This window comes from Homo sapiens, chromosome 3 (assembly GCF_000001405.40).
Source record: "Homo sapiens chromosome 3, GRCh38.p14 Primary Assembly".
NCBI classification, from domain to species: Eukaryota; Metazoa; Chordata; class Mammalia; order Primates; family Hominidae; genus Homo; species Homo sapiens.
In genome coordinates, this window is record NC_000003.12 from 44,768,090 (window position 1) to 44,791,523 (window position 23,434).

Here is a 23,434-nt window from a genome sequence, read left to right on the forward strand (position 1 = left end):
ATGGTGAAACACCGTCTCTACTAAAATACAAAAAATTAGCCAGGCGTGGTGGTGCACCCTGTAGTCCCAGCTACTTGGGAGGCTGAGGGCAGGGGAATTGCTTGAATCTGGGAGGTGGAGGTTGCAGTGAGCCAAGATCGTGGCACTGCACTCCAGCCTGGTGACAGAGCAAGACTCCGTCTCAAAAAAAAAAGAAAAGAAAAGAAAAAAAAAACCACTGATGCAAGATTTTTTGCTCCTTAGCTCAGCTAAAATCCAAGTTCGTGTTGCATGACCAGGAAAAATCAGGCACGCGGACACATCGAAAGATGAGGAGAGTGGAATTTATTAAAAGGAAGCTCTCAGTGAAAAAAAGTGTGATACACCAGCTGAAGAGGCCAGGCTTCTCCCCCTGCATAAGGTGCAAATTCCCAGTGGCTCCACTCCATTCTCCCAGGGCGCATGTGGGCCTTTAGTCTGAGCCACTCCACATTGATTTATTTTCCTTACTGCGCATGTGTTAAGGGACAGAATTTTTCAGTGACCCGGCAGGCGTTTGGCTGTCTCCTGTCTCTATCATTCCCCACTCTAAAGAAGTACATCTAACTGCCCTTAGAATAAAGATAAGGACAAAGACCAATCTTAACTGCTTCCTGCTGACAGGGGGTGCTGTGTTGGGAAAATGGCAGTCAGATTTCCCTAAGAGGCCAATCTAAAGGTTCCTGGCAAAAGGGACCATTATCTGAGGCTCCAGTTGCACGACTGGAGTTTGATGACCTGAAGGCGAGAAGAGACAAACTGAGTTATTAGAAAACATGTATCAAAACAAAACAAGGATGGGGTAAGGACAGAAGTCATGCCAGAAGTCATGCTCGAAAATCCCGAGGCCTTTTACTGGTTTGCACAGGGAGAGGGAGGCCAAAAGCCTGATTGTTAAAAGTTAAAAAAAATTTTTACCCTTTTGCTGGCTTGTCAGTCTTCGAGGTTCCCTTCCCCCAAGCCCAGTCCTAAGCTATTCTCAAGTTTAAGGTTTGGGAAATTAACTTTTCGCAGTTTAGAGGATGGATCCAAGGGGAGTGTGCTGTAGTAAGGAGACACAATTACCTATCTGTGAAGAGAGGACACAAGGGGAAAAGGAAAAAAGAAGGTGTTTTTTTCAAAGGAGTCCCAGGGGTTCAGGATGTATTCAAAAAGGCCACAGACTGAAGATGAATGGCAATCCATCAAGAAAGAGGGGAGCAGGTGTCCCTGGTTCCTTTCTCTTCCTAGTGAATACCCAGGGTAGGTGAGGGAGGGAGAAAGTGACGTGCCCCTTTTCATTTCTTCTGTCCTTATATCCCCAAGACCTGGGTGATCATCAAAGGGTGCCACCCATGAATGTCAAAGCGGCTTTCCCCCATGTTAACAGGGCTTACCCACGTACGCCCTATCTCCCCTGCTGTCAGTAGCCTTCAAGTTCTCTAGACCTCATTTATGTCGTGGATACTAGCATGATGTTTATCCATGAAACAGGAGGCTTGGCTTAATCGGCAGGAGTTAGTCATGCTCACCTGTGCTGTGCTTTTTAACTTCTGTTACCGTCTGCTTCTGGATCCCTCAGATCCAGTTTTTTTTTTCTTAGGGCTTTGACCTGAAGTTGGGAATTGAGTTTGGGACCAAAAATATGTCTCAGGGGTTGTATGGACTCCTTATCATAAGCTGAATGCTAAGGTGAAGCTGTGAAAGGGGTCCTCCTCCAAGGGAAAGAAAAGGATGCCCTGTGACACACCCAGATAACTGGTGGCTATAGTTATGTTTGCTAAGATTTGGGTGCATGGAGCTTGGCTTTGGTTAGCTCCCTTGGTCTTACTTTCCCAAAAAGGAAACCTCTGGATGACAGGCACTGTATTTATTCCCACCACCTAGCAGGATTTGCAGGATAATTGCTTAGAACTAGAATATTGATTCAGATTTTTACATTACCCATCCCCCTTTGTTCCTTCTGGGCTGTAGTTGGAGATCTCTGGTTGGATCACAGGCATAAGCAGGGTTAGTTTTTAAACGAACTAGGCAAAAAACTTGAAAACAACTAGTGGGTCTAGAATTTAATGATGATAAGTTTTTAAACATAATTTATCTCTCTCCAGTCCTCAGTTTTCTTAAAAACAAACCATGATAGGACTGAGTTGTTTGCAAAATAGACTTTGGTCTTATACTTGGCTTGATTCTTTGCATGAAGTGCAGCAAGAATACTTATTTTTACAGAGGGCTTTTAGATTGGCTTTGATGGAACTCTATTCCACAAGGAATCTCAGATAGGACTTTCTAAAGCTGAACCCAGCTGTGGGTTTTTACCCTCAAATACCTGTGAGTTGGGTAAACTCCTCTCTTCTTGAGGTCCCAAGAGCATAGGGTTCCTGGGCCTGTTAAAAAGTGACACTTCTTACTCACCGCAGATTAGGAACCCTGTACAGGGACTGTGTAGGCAAGGTATGAGGCCAGTTTTCCCAAGGAGCTTTTATCAGTTCTGCAAGTCAAGCTTGACTCCTTAAAAGGAAGCATACCCTTCCAGTCAAAGGCCTTGGTAAAACAACTAGTGTCTTCAGTTGTGTCCTGTTGCAAAGAAAATGGAATCTTATTGCACTGATGCAAACAAATATATTGTCATAAGTTAAGTATACTCACAACTAGTTTCCAAATTCTGGAGAAGCCAGGCAGAGAGAGAGAGACAAACATGCTCCAAATTTTGTTCACAGGAGTATACCTTACTCAATTATTAAAGGCTGTAAATAGTTCAAAATAAGTTTCCTTCACTCTGAAAAACAAAGCAAGGATTGGCAATGGTCCAAGCGAAAGTCAAAAAGATTACTTCAGTTTTGTATTCATTAAGTCCATCCAGTTAACTCTTGTTTTGCTTGATATTCATGAACATTTCAGCTCTTCATGAGTCCTGTTTGTTTTTTCTTTATTCTAATGTCTCAATCTCCAAAGTTATCAGAAACCTGCATTTGAGAGCACCTATGAAAGTTCTATGGCTGATTATAAACCATCTTTTGAAGAGGATGAAAACAAGACAACAATTGTCTGTGAATAACAAAATGTCCAGGGTAGTTAGAGTCAGAAACAGAATTGACAAATAAATTTGGTTATCTCTGTGGTTTATAATAACTTAACATAACAACCTTAATTGTGATTGATAGCATATACTCATGATGGGGCCCTAAGATAATTTCTGATGGCCTGGGACTCCTCGGAAAAAACAGAAAAGGCACCACAGATTCCATTTTTATGGCCAGACACTAGAATTTTAGGAATCCTTTACAATTTTGGAACATATATTAATATTATTCCCTAAAATATAACCTGAAGAAGATTAAACATTATTTTGGCAATCCCATGTACCTAAACATGTCAGGTAATCCTGTTTACCTCTCTTCTGGATGTGTCAGGGGCCCTCTGTAGCATCCAAAAGCCAGGTGTCAGGAAAGACAATTTTGAAACTGAAGTTTGATTTTGGGAAGCCTGTTGAATATGTTAGAGGTTTAAAACATTTGATTTTATGAAATAGAATTCCAGATTACCGTAAGTTATTTATTTTGTCAAAATGATGACTCAGAAATTTTAAAAAGCAAAAACCTTTTATAACCCTTTACAGATTTAGCTAAAGAGCAGATTGGTGCCTTAAGAGAACCTTGTTGTGCTTTTATTTCAATGCTCAATTTATGGAAAAGCCATATAATACCCTTTTGAATTTAATCAGTATGTTCACACAAGGAATTTTTTTTTGCAAGATCAATTTTTACAATCCTTCCACTACTTGTTTACACATTTAGCTTTATCTTATCTAATTCAAAACAGTCCTTTAACCCTAGGCAAAAATGTACATTTTGATGACATCTGCATTTTACCAATAATTTTTAAGGCTGTTTTTATTTCTCAAAGATTAAAGTCATGTGAACTAAAAGGTACCACAGCTCTTCTTTCCTTTAAAAAATATTTGATCTAAGTGCTTATTTTCCTTTAGGCCAATTAATTAGAACTCTTGTTTATAGAGATCACACACACAACACATACATAACTACACAGCCAGAAGAAGATCCAGTAGCTGTAAGATTTTCTGTTCACCAATTTCGTAACTGGACAATTAGCCTCTCAGTGGGGCCCTTTAAGAGCAGGGCTAGGAAAGCATGTAGTTTCTAGGGCCTAGTAAACAGGTATAGCTAGAAGACAAAAACAGATTTTGAGAGGGATCCATCCACCTCTAATTCCTGGGGCTCCATTAGGAAAACAAAGGTCTCTCCCAAAATGGAATCCATGGAGACTTTTCTATTTTTCCCAAGGAGTCTCAGGCCATCAGAAATTATCTTAGGGCCCCTCATGCATGCATTAAGAGGGGCAAGACAAAATGGAGAAAAAGAATTCAGTTGACTGAGAAAAAAACCTTTACCCAGCAAAATAAGATCTAAGAAGAGAAAAACATAAAGGTCTTTTAAATATACTTATAACTTGGATATCCACTTTCAATTAAGCTGAACGCTTTTTAAGAAAATCCTTTTGAGTCCCTTATTACCCGACATTAGCCATGCAAAGTGGCCAGTATTTCTGACTTCCAAACTTTACCAAAGGTAACTTCCCAGGTGCTCAGAGAAAGGAAAATTCAAGGTGGTTCATGGAGGGAAAGAGAATCAACAAATAGCTAAGGTCACACAGATATCAAACCAGAAAGGACTCATTCCTTAAGCCAGGATTGAATCCAGGCCACCATTGTAAAATGGCAGAGGCTAAAACAAAGCACTGGGCACGTGGTTACAGGCCGTGCTTCCAAGGACATAAAACAAGATGGAGGCCTGCAGCAAAGTTTGCCATTAACCAGTTTGCCGGGCTGGTTTGAACAGTGGACCTATGGAGTCCTATGCCAGCATCCCATCCTAAGGTACCCCTCTTTCTGACAGAGCCATACAGAAAGACATGGAAAGCACACCAGCTTGGTTACAGCTTAAGACCAACCTCACAAATCCTTTTTCATAATTGAAACCTTACAGAGAATATAAACAGTGATAGTTGGGGTCTTGGCCTAGTAAAACATCTTAAAAAAAAAAAAACAACAACAAAGCCTCTCACATAAAAGTTAATCTCTGGTGGAAAAAAGAAAAAAAAACTTTAAATGCAGGGCTTGAAAGATGCCTGAAAGGAGAACCTCTTATTCTTATGCAAATGAGTTTTTGCAGCAGGGAGAGAAATCTTTAATTGCTGTTTCTTCCCTGGGGCTTGAACCTAGCTGGGCCCCTTGGCTAGGGGAGGGGAGGACTCTGTGGGCATGTGGCGGGAAACCCTGGCCAGCCAGCCAAGTGGGGCCCTTGGGCCATGCACCCCAGCCCCACCCAGAAGGGGAGGGATGCAAGGAACTGCCACTCGCCCCACTTGCCTGTCCATCCTACGCATGAGCCTGCAGCCACTGGGTTGCGGGTAGAACACCCCCAACATTGTAGAAGAAAAGATAGGTGCCATTACAGTCTCAAAAAAAAGAAGGAAAATGCCACAGAAAGGCTGGGTTGGAATGAGGCCAACATTCCCTACCCCTGAGAGCGATGAGGGGTAGAAGGGGGCACAGTTTCCTCTATTCTCAGAAGAAGTCCGAGGACAAGAAGCCTCAGAAACAAGAGGGAAAAATATTTTTTGGTTCACATTTTACTCACCTTTACTCATGTTCTTATATGGGCCACCAAAATGATGCAGGATTTTTTGGTCCTTAGCTCAGCTAAAATCCAGGTTCTTGTCGCATGACCAGGAAAGATTAGGCACATGGATACATTGAAAGGTGAGAAGAGCAGAATTTATTAAAAGAACGCTCTCAATGAAAAAAGGAGGTCCTGCGAACAGGCTCCCACCTCACAGATTGAATACCAGGCCACAACACACCAGCTGAAGAGGCCAGGCTTCTCTCCCTGCATAAGGCACAAATTCCTAGTGGTTCCACCCCATTCTCCCAGTGTGCATGTGGGCCCTTAGTCTGAGCCACTCCATATTGATTTATTTCCCTTACTGTGCATGTGTTGAGGGATGGAATTTTTCACCGTGGGCAGGTTTAGGCAAGCCCCCTGTGCACAATGACCTGGGCAGCATTTGACTGTCTCCTGTCTCTATCACCATGAGACTAGGTGTTACAACCAGTAATGGGTTGGGATAGAATGAGAATAGGATCAAGGCCTGGGCTGTGGAGCACAGCATTGTTAAAGTCAGGGATCTGAGGAGGCTGAATGTAGCAGGCAACCCAGGAACATGTTAGAGAAGAATAGGATTTCCATATTACAATTTAAATGACCTTTAATAACTTTTTTTTTTTCTAGCTGAGTTACGCAGCGTGACAAATGGTCAGTCTAACCAACCAAGGTAAGGAGAAAAATATTCTCAATGAGCTCCCAAAGGACTAGGGATGGAATATTTTTAAAATAACCATTTAGCATAGTAAAGAGTACTTATTTCAAAATTTAACTTAGTCCTCAACCAGCTGGAAATGTGGGAAAACTGCATATTACCTCTGCCCTCTCACTTTCCAGGCAAAATGATAGAATCAATAGCATAATTCTCCTTGGGAATGACTTATTTATTATTGCTAGTAAGAGGGAAATGAGAGACAAGCACTACTTGGAACTCCATGCAATGAACACACACTCCCTTTGAGTTCAAGTAAAGGGATGTGAAGGTGCCTATTGTGAAGTAAATCAGTAAAAGGTATAGGTCATGTGAGACTCTGTAAAAAGAGATAAATTTGGCTGGGTGCAGGGCTCACGCCAGTAATCCCAGCACTTTGGGAGGCCAAGGTGGGCAGATAACCTGAGGTCAGGAGTTCAAGATCAGCCTGGCCAGTATGGTGAAACCCTGTCTCTACTAAAAGTACAAAAATTAGCTGGGTGTGATGGCAGATCCCTGTAATCCCAGCTACTTGGGAGGCTGAGGCAGGTGAATCACTTGAACCCAGGAGGTGGAGGTTGCAGTGAGCCAAGACTGCACCATTGCACTCCAGCCTGGGCAACAAGAATGAAACTCCATCTCAAAAAAAAAAAGAGGTAAATTTGTATGGGATATGTCTTGGGCTTTGTTGGAGAAACTCATTATAGAAACATTATAGGCAATATGAGACTTGGATCCTTTTTCAGTTTTCTTCTTCAATAAACTGAACTGTTACTTTCTTTTTTTTGTCTTTAGTAATGAAGGTGATGCCATCAAAGTTTTTGTGCGAATTCGTCCTCCTGCAGAAAGATCTGGGTCAGCTGATGGAGAGCAGAACTTATGCTTATCTGTGCTGTCCTCCACGAGTCTCCGGCTGCACTCCAACCCTGAGCCCAAGACCTTCACGTTTGATCATGTTGCAGATGTGGATACCACTCAGGTAATGATAATTAGAAACTTAACTTTTTTTTTTTTTTGAAAAGGAGTCTCACTCTGTCACCAGGCTGGAGTGCAGTGGCATGATCTCGGCTCACTGCACCCTCTGCCTCCCGGGTTCAAGTGATTCTCCTGCCTCAGCCTCCCGAGTAGCTAGGACTACAGGTGCGCGCCACCATGCCTAGCTAATTTTTGTATTTTTAGTAGAGATGGGGTTTCACCATGTTGGCCAGGATGGTCTTGATCTCTCGACCTCGTGATCTGCCCGCCTCAGCCTCCCAAAGTGCTGGGATTACAGGTGTGAGCCACCTCGCTGGAAACTTTACTTTTTACCTGGAACATATAAGCCTCCAAATTTCATTTCTTGGCCAGGCGTGGTGGCTCATGCCTGTGATCCCAGCACTTTGGGAAGCTGAGGGGGCAAATCATGAGGTCAGGAGATCGAGATCATCCTGGCTAACACAGTGAAACCCCGTCTATACTAAAAATACAAAAAATTAGCTGGTTGTGGTAGTGGGCACCTGTAGTCCTAGCTACTCGGGAGGCTGAGGCAAGAGAATGGCATGAACCTAGGAGGCGGAGCTTGCAGTGAGCGGAGATCGCACCACTGCACTCCAGACTGGGCAACAGAGCAAGACTCTGTCTCAAAAAAAAAAAAAAAAATTTCTTTTCTGGGCTGGTCTCTTTTTAATTTCATCCGTCTCAAATAAGGAGACTGAAACGTTCCATAAATATTTTAAATTTAATCTTATTAAATAGTATTCTCCTTTTTTCATCGAACTTTGTAGCAGAATGACAAAAGCCTTCTTTTTTTTTTTTCCCCCCACTAAGTGATAGGAAATTATGGGCGTAGTGGCACATGCCTGTTATCCCAGCTACTTGGAGGGCTAAGGCAGGAGGATCACTTGAGCCCAGGAGTTTGAGGCTGCAGTGAGCTATGATGGTGCCACTGCACTCCAGCCTTGGCAACAGAGCAAGACTCTATCTCTTAAAAAAAAAAAAAAAAGATCTGTGATGTTCATTGTAGTAGCCATTAGTTATATGTGGCTATTTAGATTTAAATTAATTAAATAAAACTTGAAAGTCAGTTCCTCATATACACTAGTCATATTAAAAGTGTGGCTCATGCATCTGAGGCACTGGAGGTTAGTGAAGATGCACTTTTTGGAGCCAGTGGATGATTGAGAAGTACTGTTGAACTGCCTAATCTAAGGATTTAGGATTACCGTGATGTCAACAACTGCTTTTCTAATTAAGGTCAACTTAATTAAGACCTAGTTAGTGCTATCCAATGGAACTTTCTGCAGTGATGGAAATGTTCTGTATCTGTGCTGTCTGTTACAATAGCCTCTAGCCAAATGTGACTATATGAGTTTAAATTAATTAAAATTAAATCAAATTTAAAATTCAGTGCCTCAGATGCACTAGTCACATGTGGCTCCTGAGCACTTTTAATATGGTTAGTGTGTATGAAGAACTGGCTTTTAAGTTTCGTTCAATTAATTTAAATCTAAATAGCTACATATAACTGATGGCTACTATACTGAACATCACAGATTTTTTTTTTTTTTTTTTTTTGTAAGAGATGGTGTCTTGCTTTGTTGCCAAGGCTGGAGTGCACAAATAATCCTCCTGCTTAGCCTCCCAAGTAGCTGTGATTACAGGCATATGCCACTATGCTTGGCTAATTTTTTTTTCATTCCAGGATAAATCTCAGTTATGCCAAGCTAAATTTTAAATTTTTTGTAGAGATGGAGTCTTACTATGTTCCCTAGGCTGGTCTCGAACTCCTGGCCTCAAGCAGTCCTCCCATCTTGGCTTCCCTAAGTGCTAGGATTACAGGTGTGAGCCACTTCATGCAGCCCATCACAGATCTTAAGTATTCCCTTATACATATGGATGTTTTTGGGCCAACATTTAGATCTTTGGATCTTTTTTTTATGTGGAGCATCGCTGGCCAATAGATAAGTAAAACGAGGACTGGGTGCTGTGGCTCACGCCTGTAATCCCAGCACTTTGGGAGGTGGAGGTGGGCGGATCACGAGGTCAGGAGTTTGAGACTAGCCTGACTAACATGGTGAAACCCCGTTTCTACTAAAAATAAAAAATTAGCCAGGCATGGTGGTGTGCACCTGTAGTCCCAGCTACACAGGAGGCTGAGGCAGGAGAATTGCTTGAACCTGGGAGGCGGAAGTTTCAGTGAGCCGAGATTGCGCCATTGCACTAAAGGCGACAGAGTGAGACTCCATCTCAAAAATAAATAAAAATAAACAGTGTAGGGTTGGGAGTTCTTGCATTTGTAGTAAGACTGCATCTCCTTGTAGGTAAAAATGAAAATAAAATGGAGGTATTGACTGTTCAGTGCAAACTTATGAGAAAAATCACTGAAGAAGATGTACAGCCGTTTATTTATGCTAGTACCAGTACAATATCTACATGCAATATGCTCTACAAAATTCTGTATAAAGTTTAGTTGTGTGCTTTAAATCTATAGGTGTATAGGAGATTAATAGATGTAATTATGTGTAAAGTTGAATCATCTTAGATAGTTTAGCCTTTTTTCTGTAGTGGATGTTATCCATGTTATTACTAAGCAATTTTTGCTGTTACATTGTAGAATGCAATTTAGGAAAAATGTTTTCATTTTTATGATATGTTAACATGTTTGGTTACATTTGTAGGAATCTGTATTCGCAACTGTGGCTAAAAGCATTGTGGAGTCTTGCATGAGCGGTTATAATGGTACCATCTTTGCATAGTAAGTTGTTGACTGTGTCCTTATACATAGTACATGCTTGAATTATTTTCCTGTTGCTGTTGTAACAAATTACCACAAACGTAGTGGCTTAAAACAACACAAATGTATTATGTTACAGTTCTGTAAGTGAAAAGTTCAACATGGGTCTCTCACAGGTAAAATCAAGGCGTCAGCAGGGATGCAATTCTTTTGGCAGCCTTGTTGCTTTCTGGAAAATTTGTTTCTTTGCCTTTTTCAGCTGCTAGAGGCCACCCACATTACTTAGCTTACAGCCCTGTTTATCTTCAAAACCAACAACATGTAACTCTTTGACTCTTCTTCCTTAGTCACACCTCCCTCTGACAGCAGCTAAAAAAGGTTTTCTGATTTTAGGGACTAATGATTAGATTGGCCCCTCCTGGCTATCAAGGTAGCAGGGATTACACTCCAAGGTAGAGGAGTAGTGTAGAGCAGAGTATCTGTCTATCTATATATATATAACTTTTTTTTGTAAGAAAGTTTGTCCAGCCAGGCGTGGTGGCTCACGCCTGTAATCCTAGCACTTTGGGAGGCTGAGGTGGATGGGTCACTGGAGTTCAGGAGTTCAAGACCAGTCAGGCCAACATGGTGAGACCCCCGTCTCTACTAAAAATACAAAAAAAATAGCTGGATGTGGTAGTGGTCGCCTGTAGTCCCAGCTACTTGGGAGGCTGAGGCAGGAATCACTTGAACCCAGGAGGCAGAGGTTGCAGTGAGCCGAGATTGCACCACTGCACTCCAGCCTGGGTGACAGGGCGAGACTCCGCCTCAAAAAAAAAAAAAAAAAAAAAACCAAAACAAAAAAGAAAGATTTGTCTGTTTTCCACATTTATTCAATTCTTTATATGTTATGGATATGCATTTATTTTATTCTTTAGGTTATAATCCAGTACTAAAAATTATTTACCTTGTTGTTCTTGTTGTTCCAGCTTTGCCCAATGGGCCCTCCTTGAGGTTGGTTTTTGTGTCCCTTTGCTATAGCTCATCCTTTTGTTTTTTGAGCCCCTTCTTACTTTATGATGCTACAAGATGCTCTGGGCTCATCTTGTGTTTTCCCTGACCTACGCCTAGAATCAGCCATTTCACCAATGAACCCTAATTCCTTTTATTGGAGCATGGTATTTAGAAACCAAGATCTGGGCGCTAGGTGTGTTTGGTTTGTTGCTATTGGAATGCCATTGCTTCTAGGCCTTCTCAGCAGACAGAGCTAGGTAATACATGGCAGGGTGGGTATACTGTCTGGTTTACTGAGGACAATACCAATTGTCAAGTAATTATTAGTAGTGTCCTCTTCACTCTCAAGTGCCTGTTTGGACAATAATCTATAGGATTACCCTATTTGTGGCTGGGCACGGTGGCTCACACCTGTAATCCCAGCACTTTGGGGGGCCGAGGTGCGTGGATCACGAGGTCAGGAGTTCAAGACCAGCCTGGCCAAGATGGTGAAACCCCATCTCTACTAAAAATACAAAAAATTAGCCGGGCGTGGTGGCAGATGCCTGTAGTCCCAGCTACTCAGGAGGCTGAGGAAGGAGAATCATTTGAACCCGGAGGGTGGAGGTTGCAGTGAGCCGAGATCGTGCCACTGCACTCCAGCCTGGGTGACAGAGTGAAAAAAAAAAAAAAAAAAAGGATTACCCTATTTGTAGAGGACTCAATAATATCCATTTCTCATTCTGAGTTACTAAAGAATTTTTTTCCCTCTTTTCTTCCAGAAGAAGGGGGTAAAAAACTATAGCATACTGTTTTCTAGTTTTGGGGGGCATTTAATGAAAAAGTAAATCCAAAATTTTCTGTTTTTGCTGTGAATCTAAGCTAAAGTCTTTTGATATCTTGATTAACATCTTTAAAATACAACTTTTTTTTTTTTTTTTTTTTTTAAAAGAGATGGAGTCTTGTTATGTTGCCCAGTCCTGGAGTGCAGTGGCTATCCACAGCTGTGATTCTAGTGCACCACAGCCTGGAACTCCTGGGCTCAAGCCATCTTTCTACTTCAGCCTCCTCAGTAGCTGGAACTGCCTGGCTTCAACGTTTTTACTTTTAGTTTTTTGTTACTCTTGTTTCTGTTAAGTGGGATAACAGGAGAGATGACATTGCACAAAAACCTATAGCATAAGAATTTTTTTATTGCTTTATATTTAAATGAAGAGATTTTAGTATCTTTTAAAGACAAAGAATTTAGGAAAGGAAATGCTGTATTACTTGGCATAGCAAAAATTGGAAACAAAAGTTCATTTGATTCTGGTTAAATAAATTATGGTGCTGCAAGATGCTATATGATCCCAAAACCATGGAATACTGTGTAGCTATTAAAAATAATGAGGCAGACCTCTATTGCTGACCTAGGAAGATATCTGAGGTAAAATTAAGGGAAAAATAGGTTGCAAAGCAGTATGAAGAGCATCATCCCAATTTTGGTAAATAAAAATTAAATGAAAACTCTGATGGCTATGTTTGTGTAATATAGAAGCATTTGCCAATTAACAGCAGTTAGCTCTTTGTAGGGAGATTGGAGAGAAAGGAGGCAGATCATTCACTTTTTATCTAATAGAATTTAAAAATAGAAAGAAAATAAGCTAACTTTTTGTGGAGAAAACTTATACACTAGTATTATAATAGGAGGAGTAGTCTTTTAATTTTATGTGTAAAAATAATATGTAAAACATTTTTTACAGTGGACAGACTGGCTCAGGGAAGACATTTACTATGATGGGTAAGTAAAGATTAACTTTTGTTGGCTTAATCTACTCTTTCTGTGATAACAGTAACCTACAACATTTTGGGGAAAGGCATAATTTCTATATATGATGTTGATCTCTTGAAATTAGGGAAATTCCCTAGGCTTCTGCCAAGTTGTGAGTTCTTTGCTAGCAAAGTCCATGTGTTAATCATGTTTGCAGCTATGTTTCCAGCTCAATGCCTGGCACAGAGTGGTGCTGAATAAACAGTTTTTCAGTAGGATTTAATGAATTCGTATATGTTTATACACCTGTATAACCACTAACCAGATCAAGATTCCTGGTCAGTAACTACCAAACCCTGTCCCCTGGAATGCCAATTACTCTGATTTCTGTCATCATTAATATTGCTTGTTTTTGATCCTCTACAAATAATATTTTGTTGTGTATCTTTTGTTTCTGATGTCTTTTAGTGTTAAGTTTCTGCGATTCACTCATGTTGTTGCATGTAGTAGTAGTTTATTTCCATTACTGTATAATATATTATCGTATGAATATACTACACATTTTCCAGTCTACTGTTGATAGACATTTGGATTATTTCAACTTTTCAACCATACGAATAATGTTGCTGTGAACATCTTTCTTGTGTCTTTTCAAATAATTTATGTTGGATATGTATCCAGGAGAATTGCTGGATCATAGGATATATGTATATTTAGCTTTAGTAGATTCTGCCCAACAGTTTCCCAAAGTGATTATCTCAGTAGTATATGGAAGTTCCAGTTGCTCCACTTCCTTATATATACTTGAAATTGTCAATTTAAAAAATTTTAGCCATTCTTGAGTATGTATAGTATTATCTTATTGTGTATTTATTTCTATTGACAACTGAATACCTTTCATAGGTTTAATTCGATATATCAATACCCTGTCTGTTGAAATGCCCATTCAAGCTTTTTTCTCCCATTTAAAAAATTAGCTTGACTTTTTCTTACTCATTTGTGGATATTCCTTATAAAACAGAGAAGTTAGCCTTTTGTCCATGATATGGATTCCAGATTTTTCTCTAGATTTTTCATTTGTCTTTTGACTTACTTAAGGTTTTTTTTTCTATGCTAAAGTTTTATTTTACATGGCTGAATTTGTTTCTTTTCTTTTTCTTCTTTTTATTTTTTTTGAGACGGAGCCTGCCCCTGTCGCCTAGGCTAGAGTGCAGTGGTACAATCTTGGCTCACTGCAACCTTTGCCTCCTGGGTTCAAGGCTATTCTCCAGCCTCAGCTTCCCAAGTAGCTGGGATTGCAGGCATGCGCCACCACACCCAGCTAATTTTTGTATATTTAGTAGAGACGGGGTGGGGGGCGCGTCTCACCATGTTGGCCAGGCTGGTCTCGAACTCCCGACCTCAAGTGATCCACCTGCCTCGGCCTCCCAAAGTGCTGGGATTACAGGCAGAAGCCACTGCACCTGGCTTCTTTTTCCTTAATGGCTTCTGAATTGTGAGTTGTAGTAAGAAAGGTCTTCCTCGCTCTCTGAGGTTATAACAACAACAACAACAAATAATTGAATACTTGTACTTACAGTATGCCCAGCACTCTTCAAGACACTGTTGGTTTACTTGAATACAAGGCAGTGTCCTGGCTCTTGTGGACCTTCTGATTCTCAGGCAGAGGGAATACACAATTAAAAGCAAATACACCTCTAGAAATTATGCCAAAGGTAATAAGTGCTATGAATTAAAATAAAGCAATGTAAAGGGATGGAAAAAAGTAGAGGGTGCTATTTTAGGTGGTGGGTCAGGAAAGACCTCTCAGGAGGTGACCTTTGGAGTTATTAAGTGAAATGAGAGTGAACCATGAGACTGTCCAAGAGAATAATCTTACAGGCAGAGGAACAGCAGTTGCACAGGCCCTGAGGTGGGTGCACACCCAAGGATGTTTGAAGACCAGCAGAAGACCCACTGAGAGTGGAGTTTTCCAGGATAAGGGGCTGGTAGCATGGGAAGTCGGAGCTATACCCTAGGCCAGGTCATATAGGCCTGGTGAGGATTTTGGATTTTGTTTTGAATATGATGTGACATTATTGGAAGTGTTCTTTTTTAAAATAAACAAATAGGAAGTACATGATCTGATATTAAAAGGATTACTCAGGCAGCTAAATGGAATAAAGACGATTAGGGGATAGAGCGGGATTAGGAGATACTGCAGTGGGTTAGGCAAGAGATGATGAAGGTAATTAAAGATTTGTTGAATCTTTGTCTTAGTCTATTTGTGTTGCTGTAAAGGAATACCTGAGGCTGGGTAATTTATAAAGAAAAGAGGTTTACTTGGCTCACAGTTCTGCAGGTCATAGAGGAAGCATGGCACCAGCATCTGCTCGGCTTCTGGTGAGGGCCTCATGCTGCTTCAACTCATGGCAGAAGACAAAGGGGAATGGGCATGCAGGGATTACATGGTGAGAGAGGAAAGTGAGAGAGAGAGAGAGACAAAGAGAGAGAGAGATGAGGAGGTGCCAGGCTCTCTCCAACAACTAGTTCTCTTGGGAAATAAGAGAACTCACTCCCATGAGAATGGCACCAAGCCTTTCATGAGGGGTTGTGCCCCCCACACTCCATGACCCAAAAATGTCCCAGCAGGCGACACCTCCAACAGTGGGGATCAAATTTCAACATGAGAATTGGGGCAAAACATACTATATCTTTATATAATATATTCTTCAATGGGAAAATGATGTAAAATTATCTACATGTTCTAATATTCATTCTCTTTATTTACTTGCATTTTTCTACCTCTGTTATATATTTCTTAAGCTACAGATTACAAGGACCATTTTAAATATTCCAGGTGTGGTACAAGGCCTTCTACCAAAGACAACTATTATATTTTAAAATTTATTCTCTATTTTTCTTGTGCATGTCAGCATTTTGTTAGTTCCTTTGGTCTCTAAGGCATACTTCACCAATATTTTGATTGTTAAATAGATCTAGATCTTTTCTAGCTATATATACTTTTCTGGTAAATATTGCTATAACTTGAATTAGAATTCCTTAGAATCCTGCTATTTGCATATCCACTCTTCCTTTTCCCAGTGTAACAAAATAGAGACTCTGCATTTTTCTGTCTATGTGGAAATCTTGTAAGATATTCTTACAGTACTTTTCTTACCAGCTTGGCTTTTATTGCCTAATTTTAAAAAAATCAACTAGCTAATCCTGATTTTTAGTACTTAATGTGTTTAAAGCACTAACATGGCTCTAAGTGCTTTACCTTTACACTCTCAGTTAATTCTTTCTTTTTGTTTTGAGACGGAGTCTCACTCTGTCGCCCAGGCTGGAGTGCAGTGGCGCCATCTCGGCTCACTGCAAGCTCCGCCTCCCAGGTTCACGCCATTCTCCTGCCTCAGCCTCTCCGAGTAGCTGGGACTACAGGCGCCCGCTACCACGCCCGGCTACTTTTTTTTTTGTATTTTTAGTAACGATGGGATTTCATCGTGATCTCGATCTCCTGAACTTGTGATCCGCCCGCCTCAGCTTCCCAAAGTGCTGGGATTACAAGCGTGAGCCACTGCGCCTGGCCTCTCAGTTAATTCTTTCCAATAACCCTATGTGATATTTATTACCATTATTATCCCCATTTTATAATTGAGAACTCTGCAGCTTAAGAGGGATTTAGTAATTAGCCTATGGTCACACAGTATGGGGCCAAGGCCTGGAGCACAGGTCAGTCTATGAGACCAAATGTGCTGCAATAAAGGACAATTATTTGATATTCCTGCAGATTTTGGTACCTGGCAGTTGGAAAAATTTCAATTTCTCTCACAGACCTAGATTTAACTTGCTTGGAGCACAAGTAGGAAACTGATTGTATGGTGTATCATCTAATTTCTGTGTAAATTGCCATTTTGAAAGACTCTTGGAATAGAATAAAAATCCAGTGTTTTTTTTTTCATTTTTTTAGGACCATCTGAATCTGATAATTTTTCTCATAACCTGAGAGGAGTAATCCCACGAAGTTTTGAATATTTGTTTTCCTTAATTGATCGTGAAAAAGAAAAGGTAAAACAATGTAAAAATAAAGTGGTTCTATGAAATGTCTAATTTTGAATAGGTAGCTACTGATAATTAGCTCATGATACATGGTGGAGCATGGATGGTACTCTACAATATGAATAGACTAGCGTGGCATAAAAAAAAACCTTTCAATTCTGAGGATAATATTAAGGATTCTGAGTTGTTTTATCTCAACTGAGTTTTTAGTTTATAAAACATGCATTATCCTTTATCCCAAATTGCTGGTTTACAAGAAAGGAAAATAGTGCTTCTGAGGCTCTCAAAAAAAGATTTTGTAAGAGAGAAACTGTAAAGAAAATCTCAACTGAGGAAAACAGATACATTAATACACTAAGCCTAATCATCTACCTGTACCTAGGCTCACAGGTGACTGCAGGTGTCCCTAAATCCTCATGACATCCAGCAGTGATGGACTCATCCTCACCACCTTTGTAGCACCTGCTACTGCCTTCCATGATCTTTGTGCTCCACATGTGGTATGGCTCCATCACCCTGGGGATATGGTCTTTCCTCTTGCATTGGCTCCCAGGTTGGGCCTTCTCACAGTTGTGCTGATTTAGCTTGGTGAATTCGGGGCTTAGAACCATTAGTGTTTTATGTTCCATTACTTGTGTACCAAAGAAATATATAACATTGGTTTACCATTTACTCCTTTGCAGAAATCACCTAACACTGAAATTAGACACACAAATTGTATGGCAGTGAAATAATTTAGTACCATGCATTTCTATGGTTAAAAATCCTATAAAGTCTTTTAAAATAAATTATTTTCAATCGTTTGAAGAACATAACACTTGCTTCAAATAAAACTTTATGAGGACATCAAATATATAAGACAGACAAAAATGGAATTTCCCAACTGGACTGCTCAATTCTCCTCCCCCTGTATTAGCTCCCAGGCACCTGTGGAGGCCTCTAGGGTGCCTGGCACCACAGTTTGATGCAGCTCTAAAATATAATGATGTGTTAAAACTAGTTATCAGCTGAGCACGGTGGCTCACGCCTGTAATCCCAGCACTTTGGGAGGCCGAGGCAAATCACGAGGTCAGGAGATCGAGACCATCCTGGCTAACACAGTGAAACCCCGTCTCTACTAAAAATACAAAAAATTAGCCGGGCGTGGTGGCGGGCACCTGTAGTCCCAGCTACTCGGGAGGCTGAGGCAGAAGAATGGCGTGAACCTGGGAGGCAGAGCTTGCAGTGAGCCAAGATCGCGCCACTGCACTGCAGCCTGGACAACAGAGTGAGACTCCATCTCAAACAAAACAAAAAAACTATTTATCTAGATTTTTTTTACTTTTAGGTATCTTATATTGTATTAAAGGATAATAGCATAGGAAATTTACATCTTGTGAAGCGAGTGCAAAATTAATGCTCATGAAAACTAGGTATGAACACATGAAAATAATGTATCTAAATGAGGCTTCTTTTTTACAGGCTGGAGCTGGAAAGAGTTTCCTTTGTAAGTGTTCCTTTATTGAAATCTACAACGAGCAGATATATGATCTACTGGACTCTGCATCGGCTGGACTGTACTTAAGGGAGCATATCAAGAAGGGAGTCTTTGTTGTTGGTGCGGTGGAGCAGGTGGTAACCTCAGCTGCTGAAGCCTATCAGGTACCCTGCCATGAGTACTTAATTGGTGCTTAGGCAACAAACCTGCTGTGAATGCACCCCAAACTCCAAAAAGTGACAATTGAGGTACCAAAAATATGTCATAAAGGCATAATACAGAATGTTCATGGGAAGTAAAGATAAAATAATATGGCAGTATTTTCTTTTCCAAGAGTCTTTCAAAATGGAACCTCGAAAGGGCAATTTATACAGAAATAAGATGATACATTGTATCATCAGTTTCTTACTTGTCCATATGTTTTTAGTGGTTCCTCCTGGGAGATGCCTGTTTGAGGGGCTTCTGGGAACTCTGGCCTTTAAACCAGCTGGCTGTTCTTTTCTACGTTGCTTGCTTGTTAGGTGTCAAAAGCTAACTTACCTTGAGCATTCAGCTCAGGACAAGCAAACCTCTTGACAGGAATTTACAAAATATTCTAGATATGTTTTTATGAAATCTGATCTGGCTTAATGATTTGAAAGTTTTTTATTATGAAGCATTTGACACATATGAAATATTGCCACAAGCATGTAAGTTACCAAGCATAATGTTAAAGTGAACTTTCAGGAGGCTTTTAGACAATTTAAAGACCCTGGTATCACCAGTACTATCCGATTTACTGGTGATATTTGGTTCTTTAAATATGCTATAAATAGGTAAATAGGATACCTGTCCTCCCTATCCCATATCCCTGGCTCTTCCCCAAAATTAAGCACTAAGTTGAATGTCATTATCATTTTCTTCCACTTTTAAATCACATATGTATGTGGTTTTGCCTGTTTTTGAGTTTGAAAAACACATATTTAGCTTTCTATGACTTTTAAAACTCAATGTGGTTTATGAAATCTACGTTGCATTTCATTTATTTTCACTGCTGTATGATATTTTATAATTTATTCTTTTATCTTCAATAAAAGATGGAATCAAGTCTCTTGATTCCAGCTGTTTAAATTGAGACTCCCCCCGGCGAGAGATAGGTTGTACATGTGACGTAGTATGTGTATACATACATACTCAAAAATTTGTGTTGGGTTTTTTATTGGAATTACATTGCAGTTATAGACCAGTCTGGAGGGATTAACAATTCTTTTTACAATGTTTTACAATATTCAGTCCATACATTAGCATAGTATGTCTCCTCTTTTTAGATCTTTAATGTCTTGCAATATAATTTTAATAATTTTCATCATAAAAGTCACACATACTTTTTGTTAACTTTATTCCAGTATACCTTATGTTTTTAGTTTCTCTAATAATCTCTTTCTTATTTTCATTTTTATTTATTTTTTTATTTGTTTTTTTGGAGACAGAATCTTGCTCTGTCACCCAGGCTGGAGTGCAGTGGTGCAATCTTGGCTCACTGCAACCTCCGCCTCCTAGGTTCAAGCAATTCTCGTGCCTTAGCCTCCCAAGTAGGTGAGACTACAGGCGCGCACTGCCATGCCTGGCTAATTTTTTGTATTTCAGGAGAGACGGTTTCACCATGTTGCCCAGGCTGGTCTTGAACTCCTGAGCTCAGGCAATCCACCTGCCTTGGCCTCCCAAAGTGCTAGGATTATAGGCATGAGCTACCGTGCCCGGCACATAATCTCTTTTTTAAATTACATTTAGTGTTTGGTGTGTATAGAAATGCAGTTGATTTTTATAAGATGCTTTTATAATCAGCCACCTTGCTGTCTTAAAAAATCAAGAATGTGTGTTAAAGTTTTGTTTGATGCTTTTTCCACCATTGTTGAGATAATCTTGTGCTTTTTCTTCTTTAACATGTTAACACGATAAAGTACTCGATTAAGATTTGCTATTATTTTGTTTAGTGTTTTTCATAAATTTAAAAAATTGAGATCAATCTGTAATTTCCTTTGTCCTATTCCTTTTTTCTTTTTTTCTTTTTCTTTTTTTTTTGAGACAGGGTCTCGCTCTGTCACCCAGGCCAGAGTACAAGTGGCAGAATCATGGTTCACTGCAGCCTTGACCTCCTGGGCTTAACAGATCCTCCCACCTCAGCCTCCCTAGTAGCTGAGACTGCAAGTGCACAGCATTATGTCTGGCTGATTTTTGAATGTTTTTGTAGAGATGAGGTTTAGCCATGTTGTCCAGGCCAGTCTTGAACTCCTGGGCTCAAGCATTTCACCTTGCCTCAGCCTCCCACTATAGGCGTGAGACACTGCACCTGGCCCTATTCTCTTTGTCTTGTTTTATTATCAATGTTACTTGTTTTCTGAAAGTATTTGTGCCTGGGATGACTTATTCTTAGAATACATAGTAGAACTCATCTGAAAAATTATCTGGGTCTTGTGAGATTTTTAACTACAAAACAATATTTTAATAGAGCCATGCAGCCATGTTATTTCTTCTTGGGTCAGTGTTAGTAAGTTATGTATTTTAGAAAAATTTCAATTTCCTCTTAGTTTTCAAGTATATTGGCATAAAGTTGTTCCTAGTATTCACATTTTTACAATCTTTGCCATACTGCCATTCTGTTTCCTTTTTACACAGTTGTTATTGTTTATATGGACTTGCTCTTTAATATTTTCTTTGTTTTCAGTTTATCCTGGGTTTATCATGCTGTTCTTTTTCCAACTTCTTAAGCTGGATGTTTACTCACGTTGGCATTTCTTTTGTGATATAAGTATTTAATACTATAAATTTTTACTTCTTAATACTTCTTTAACTTCACACAAGTTTTAATATTTTAATTACGGTGTAGATCCAAATATTTTTCTACTATAATTTTTTTTGACTCATGAATTACTTAGAAATGTGATTTTAAATTCCAAAGCGTGTGAGGATTTCTAACTTATTTCTCACATTGATTCTCAATTGCATTGGGATCGAAGAATGTGGTCTTATGTGACATCTAGTCTTTGAGTTTTTTTTGAGACATAATTTATGGATTAATAACCTTTTTCTTAAGTGTGTCATGTGTGCTTGAGAAGAATATGTATCCTTGGTACAAGGTTTTATATTTTTGCTAGTTTTCTTGTCCGTGTAATCTATTGATACTTCAGAGAGATGCACTGATTTCCCACTAAGGTGTTGGTTTTTCAGTTTCATTGCGATTTTTGTCTAATTTTATATATATATATATATATATATATATATATATATATATATATATATATAAAATAGATACATACACATATGGAAACACAACAAGTCCTCACTTAACATCCTTATAGGTTCTTGGAAACTGACTTTAAGTGAAACGATGTATAATAAAACCAATTTTACTACAGGCTAATTGATACAAAGAAGAGTTAAGTTCCTACTGCATATTTCCAGTCATAAAAGCATCACCAAACTTCTCAATAAGAACCCAACACACTTCTAATATTAAACATTGAAATAAATGTCAACTATACATTTATTTTAAAAAGAATAATAACAACTAAGATAATTATTTACCCAGGTTTTGGTGGATAAGTGAGTGATGGCAGTCATGGTGTTGGGTTAAATCGGGAATAAATGTTTGCAAAGTAGAAATTGTCAGGAGCACTTCCTACCACCATACAGTTCAGAAACAAACAATAACAAATATGGCGGGCTCACTGAGTACTTTCATACTGCATTGTTTATTGTCCTGTATTTGTATGAGTATCATATACTTTATGACATTTTTTTTTTTTGAGACGGAGTCTCACTCTCTCTCCAAGGCTAGAGTGTAGTGGTGCGATCTTGGCTTACTTCAACCTCTGCCTCCTGGGTTCAAACGATTCTTGTGCCTCAGCCTCCTGAGCAGCTAGGACTACAGGCTTGTGCCACCACACCCGGCTAAATTTTTGTATTTTTATTAGAGATGGGGTTTTGTCATGTTGGCCGGGCTGGTCTTTACACAGACAGTTGCCCCGGGTGGAAATCATTTTATTTTCTCAAGTTCACAACAAAATAACACTGAATGAAGTGAAATGGAGGACCTGCTGTGGACTCCTTTATTAGGTATATATACAAGTGTAGAATTAGTATATATCTTCCTTTTATTTTCACCTATAATTATTTATTGATTCTGTACTTTCCTATCAACACATTTTGCTTTACAAATCTGTTTTGTCTGATGTTCACCTACCACTGAACATTCTTTTGATTACCATTTGCCTGGTATACGTTTTCCCATCAGTTTTTCTGTTTCTTTTTTTTTTTTTTTTTTTTTTGAGTCTCGCTCTGTCGCCAGGCTAGAGTGCAGTGGCATGATCTCGGCTCACTGCAACCTCTGCCTCCCAGGTTCAAGCTATTCTCCTGCCCCAGCCTCCCGAGTAGCTGGGACTACAGGCATGCGCCACCACGCCCTGTTAATTTTTGTATTTTTAGTAGAGATGAGGTTGGCCAGGATGGTCTCTATCTCTTGACCCCGTGATCTGCCTGCCTCGGCCTCCCAAAGTGCTGGGATTACAGGCGCGAGCCACTGGGCCCGGCCCCTTCTGTTTCTTAATGTTTTAGGTGTTTATTGTAAACCACATAGCTATACTTTGCTCGTTTTTTTAACTGCTCATGACAGTACCTTACCTAATTTATTTACATTACTATATGATTGTTGATATTCTTAGACTGGTTTCTACCATCTTTCTTAGTGTGTTTTGCCTGTTTCATCTAATACTTCCTTCTCTTTTCTTGCCTTTTTGTTTTTGATCCAGTATGCAGCATGATTTATTGAAAAAAACTCTTTTTCCTATTACATTGCCTTTGCATCTTTGGTGAATTGACTGTACACATATGGGTTTATATCTAACTGTATTCTGTTCTGTTGATCTATATGTTTCTTTTCATCAATATTAAATGGTCTTGATTATTATATAACTTGTTGCTAAGTAGTGTCTTTAGATCAGGTAGGGTAAGTCCTCCAACACTGTTCTTTTTAACAATTATTTTGGTTATTCATTGTCCTTTGCATTTTCATTTACATAGAACCAGTTTGTCAATTTCTACAAAATAGGCTGCTGGGATTTTGAGTGGGGTTGTG

The 23,434-nt window shown here is 39.6% G+C and overlaps 1 protein-coding gene across 14 annotated transcripts in view; it reads left to right on the forward strand.

Moving 5' to 3' along the window:
• The window catches only part of KIF15 (kinesin family member 15), a 106,894-nt gene that overhangs the window by 6,296 nt on the left and 77,164 nt on the right, over nucleotides 1–23,434 (forward strand). For 12 of the 14 annotated variants that reach the window (XR_007095708.1, XR_007095709.1, XR_007095710.1 and 9 more), the window contains exons 2-7: nucleotides 6,306–6,348; nucleotides 7,165–7,348; nucleotides 10,026–10,102; nucleotides 12,796–12,833; nucleotides 16,756–16,853; nucleotides 18,306–18,485. Coding sequence is in view for 9 of the 14 variants with exons in the window: in XM_017006884.3 (XP_016862373.1) it covers nucleotides 6,306–6,348; nucleotides 7,165–7,348; nucleotides 10,026–10,102; nucleotides 12,796–12,833; nucleotides 16,756–16,853; nucleotides 18,306–18,485 (620 nt within the window). In the remaining 5 variants the exon portion in view is untranslated. Of the gene's footprint in view, nucleotides 1–6,305; nucleotides 6,349–7,164; nucleotides 7,349–10,025; nucleotides 10,103–12,795; nucleotides 12,834–16,755; nucleotides 16,854–18,305; nucleotides 18,486–23,434 lie in introns of those variants that run through there. The other 2 variants (XM_017006885.3, XM_047448601.1) reach the window with 2 other exon arrangements.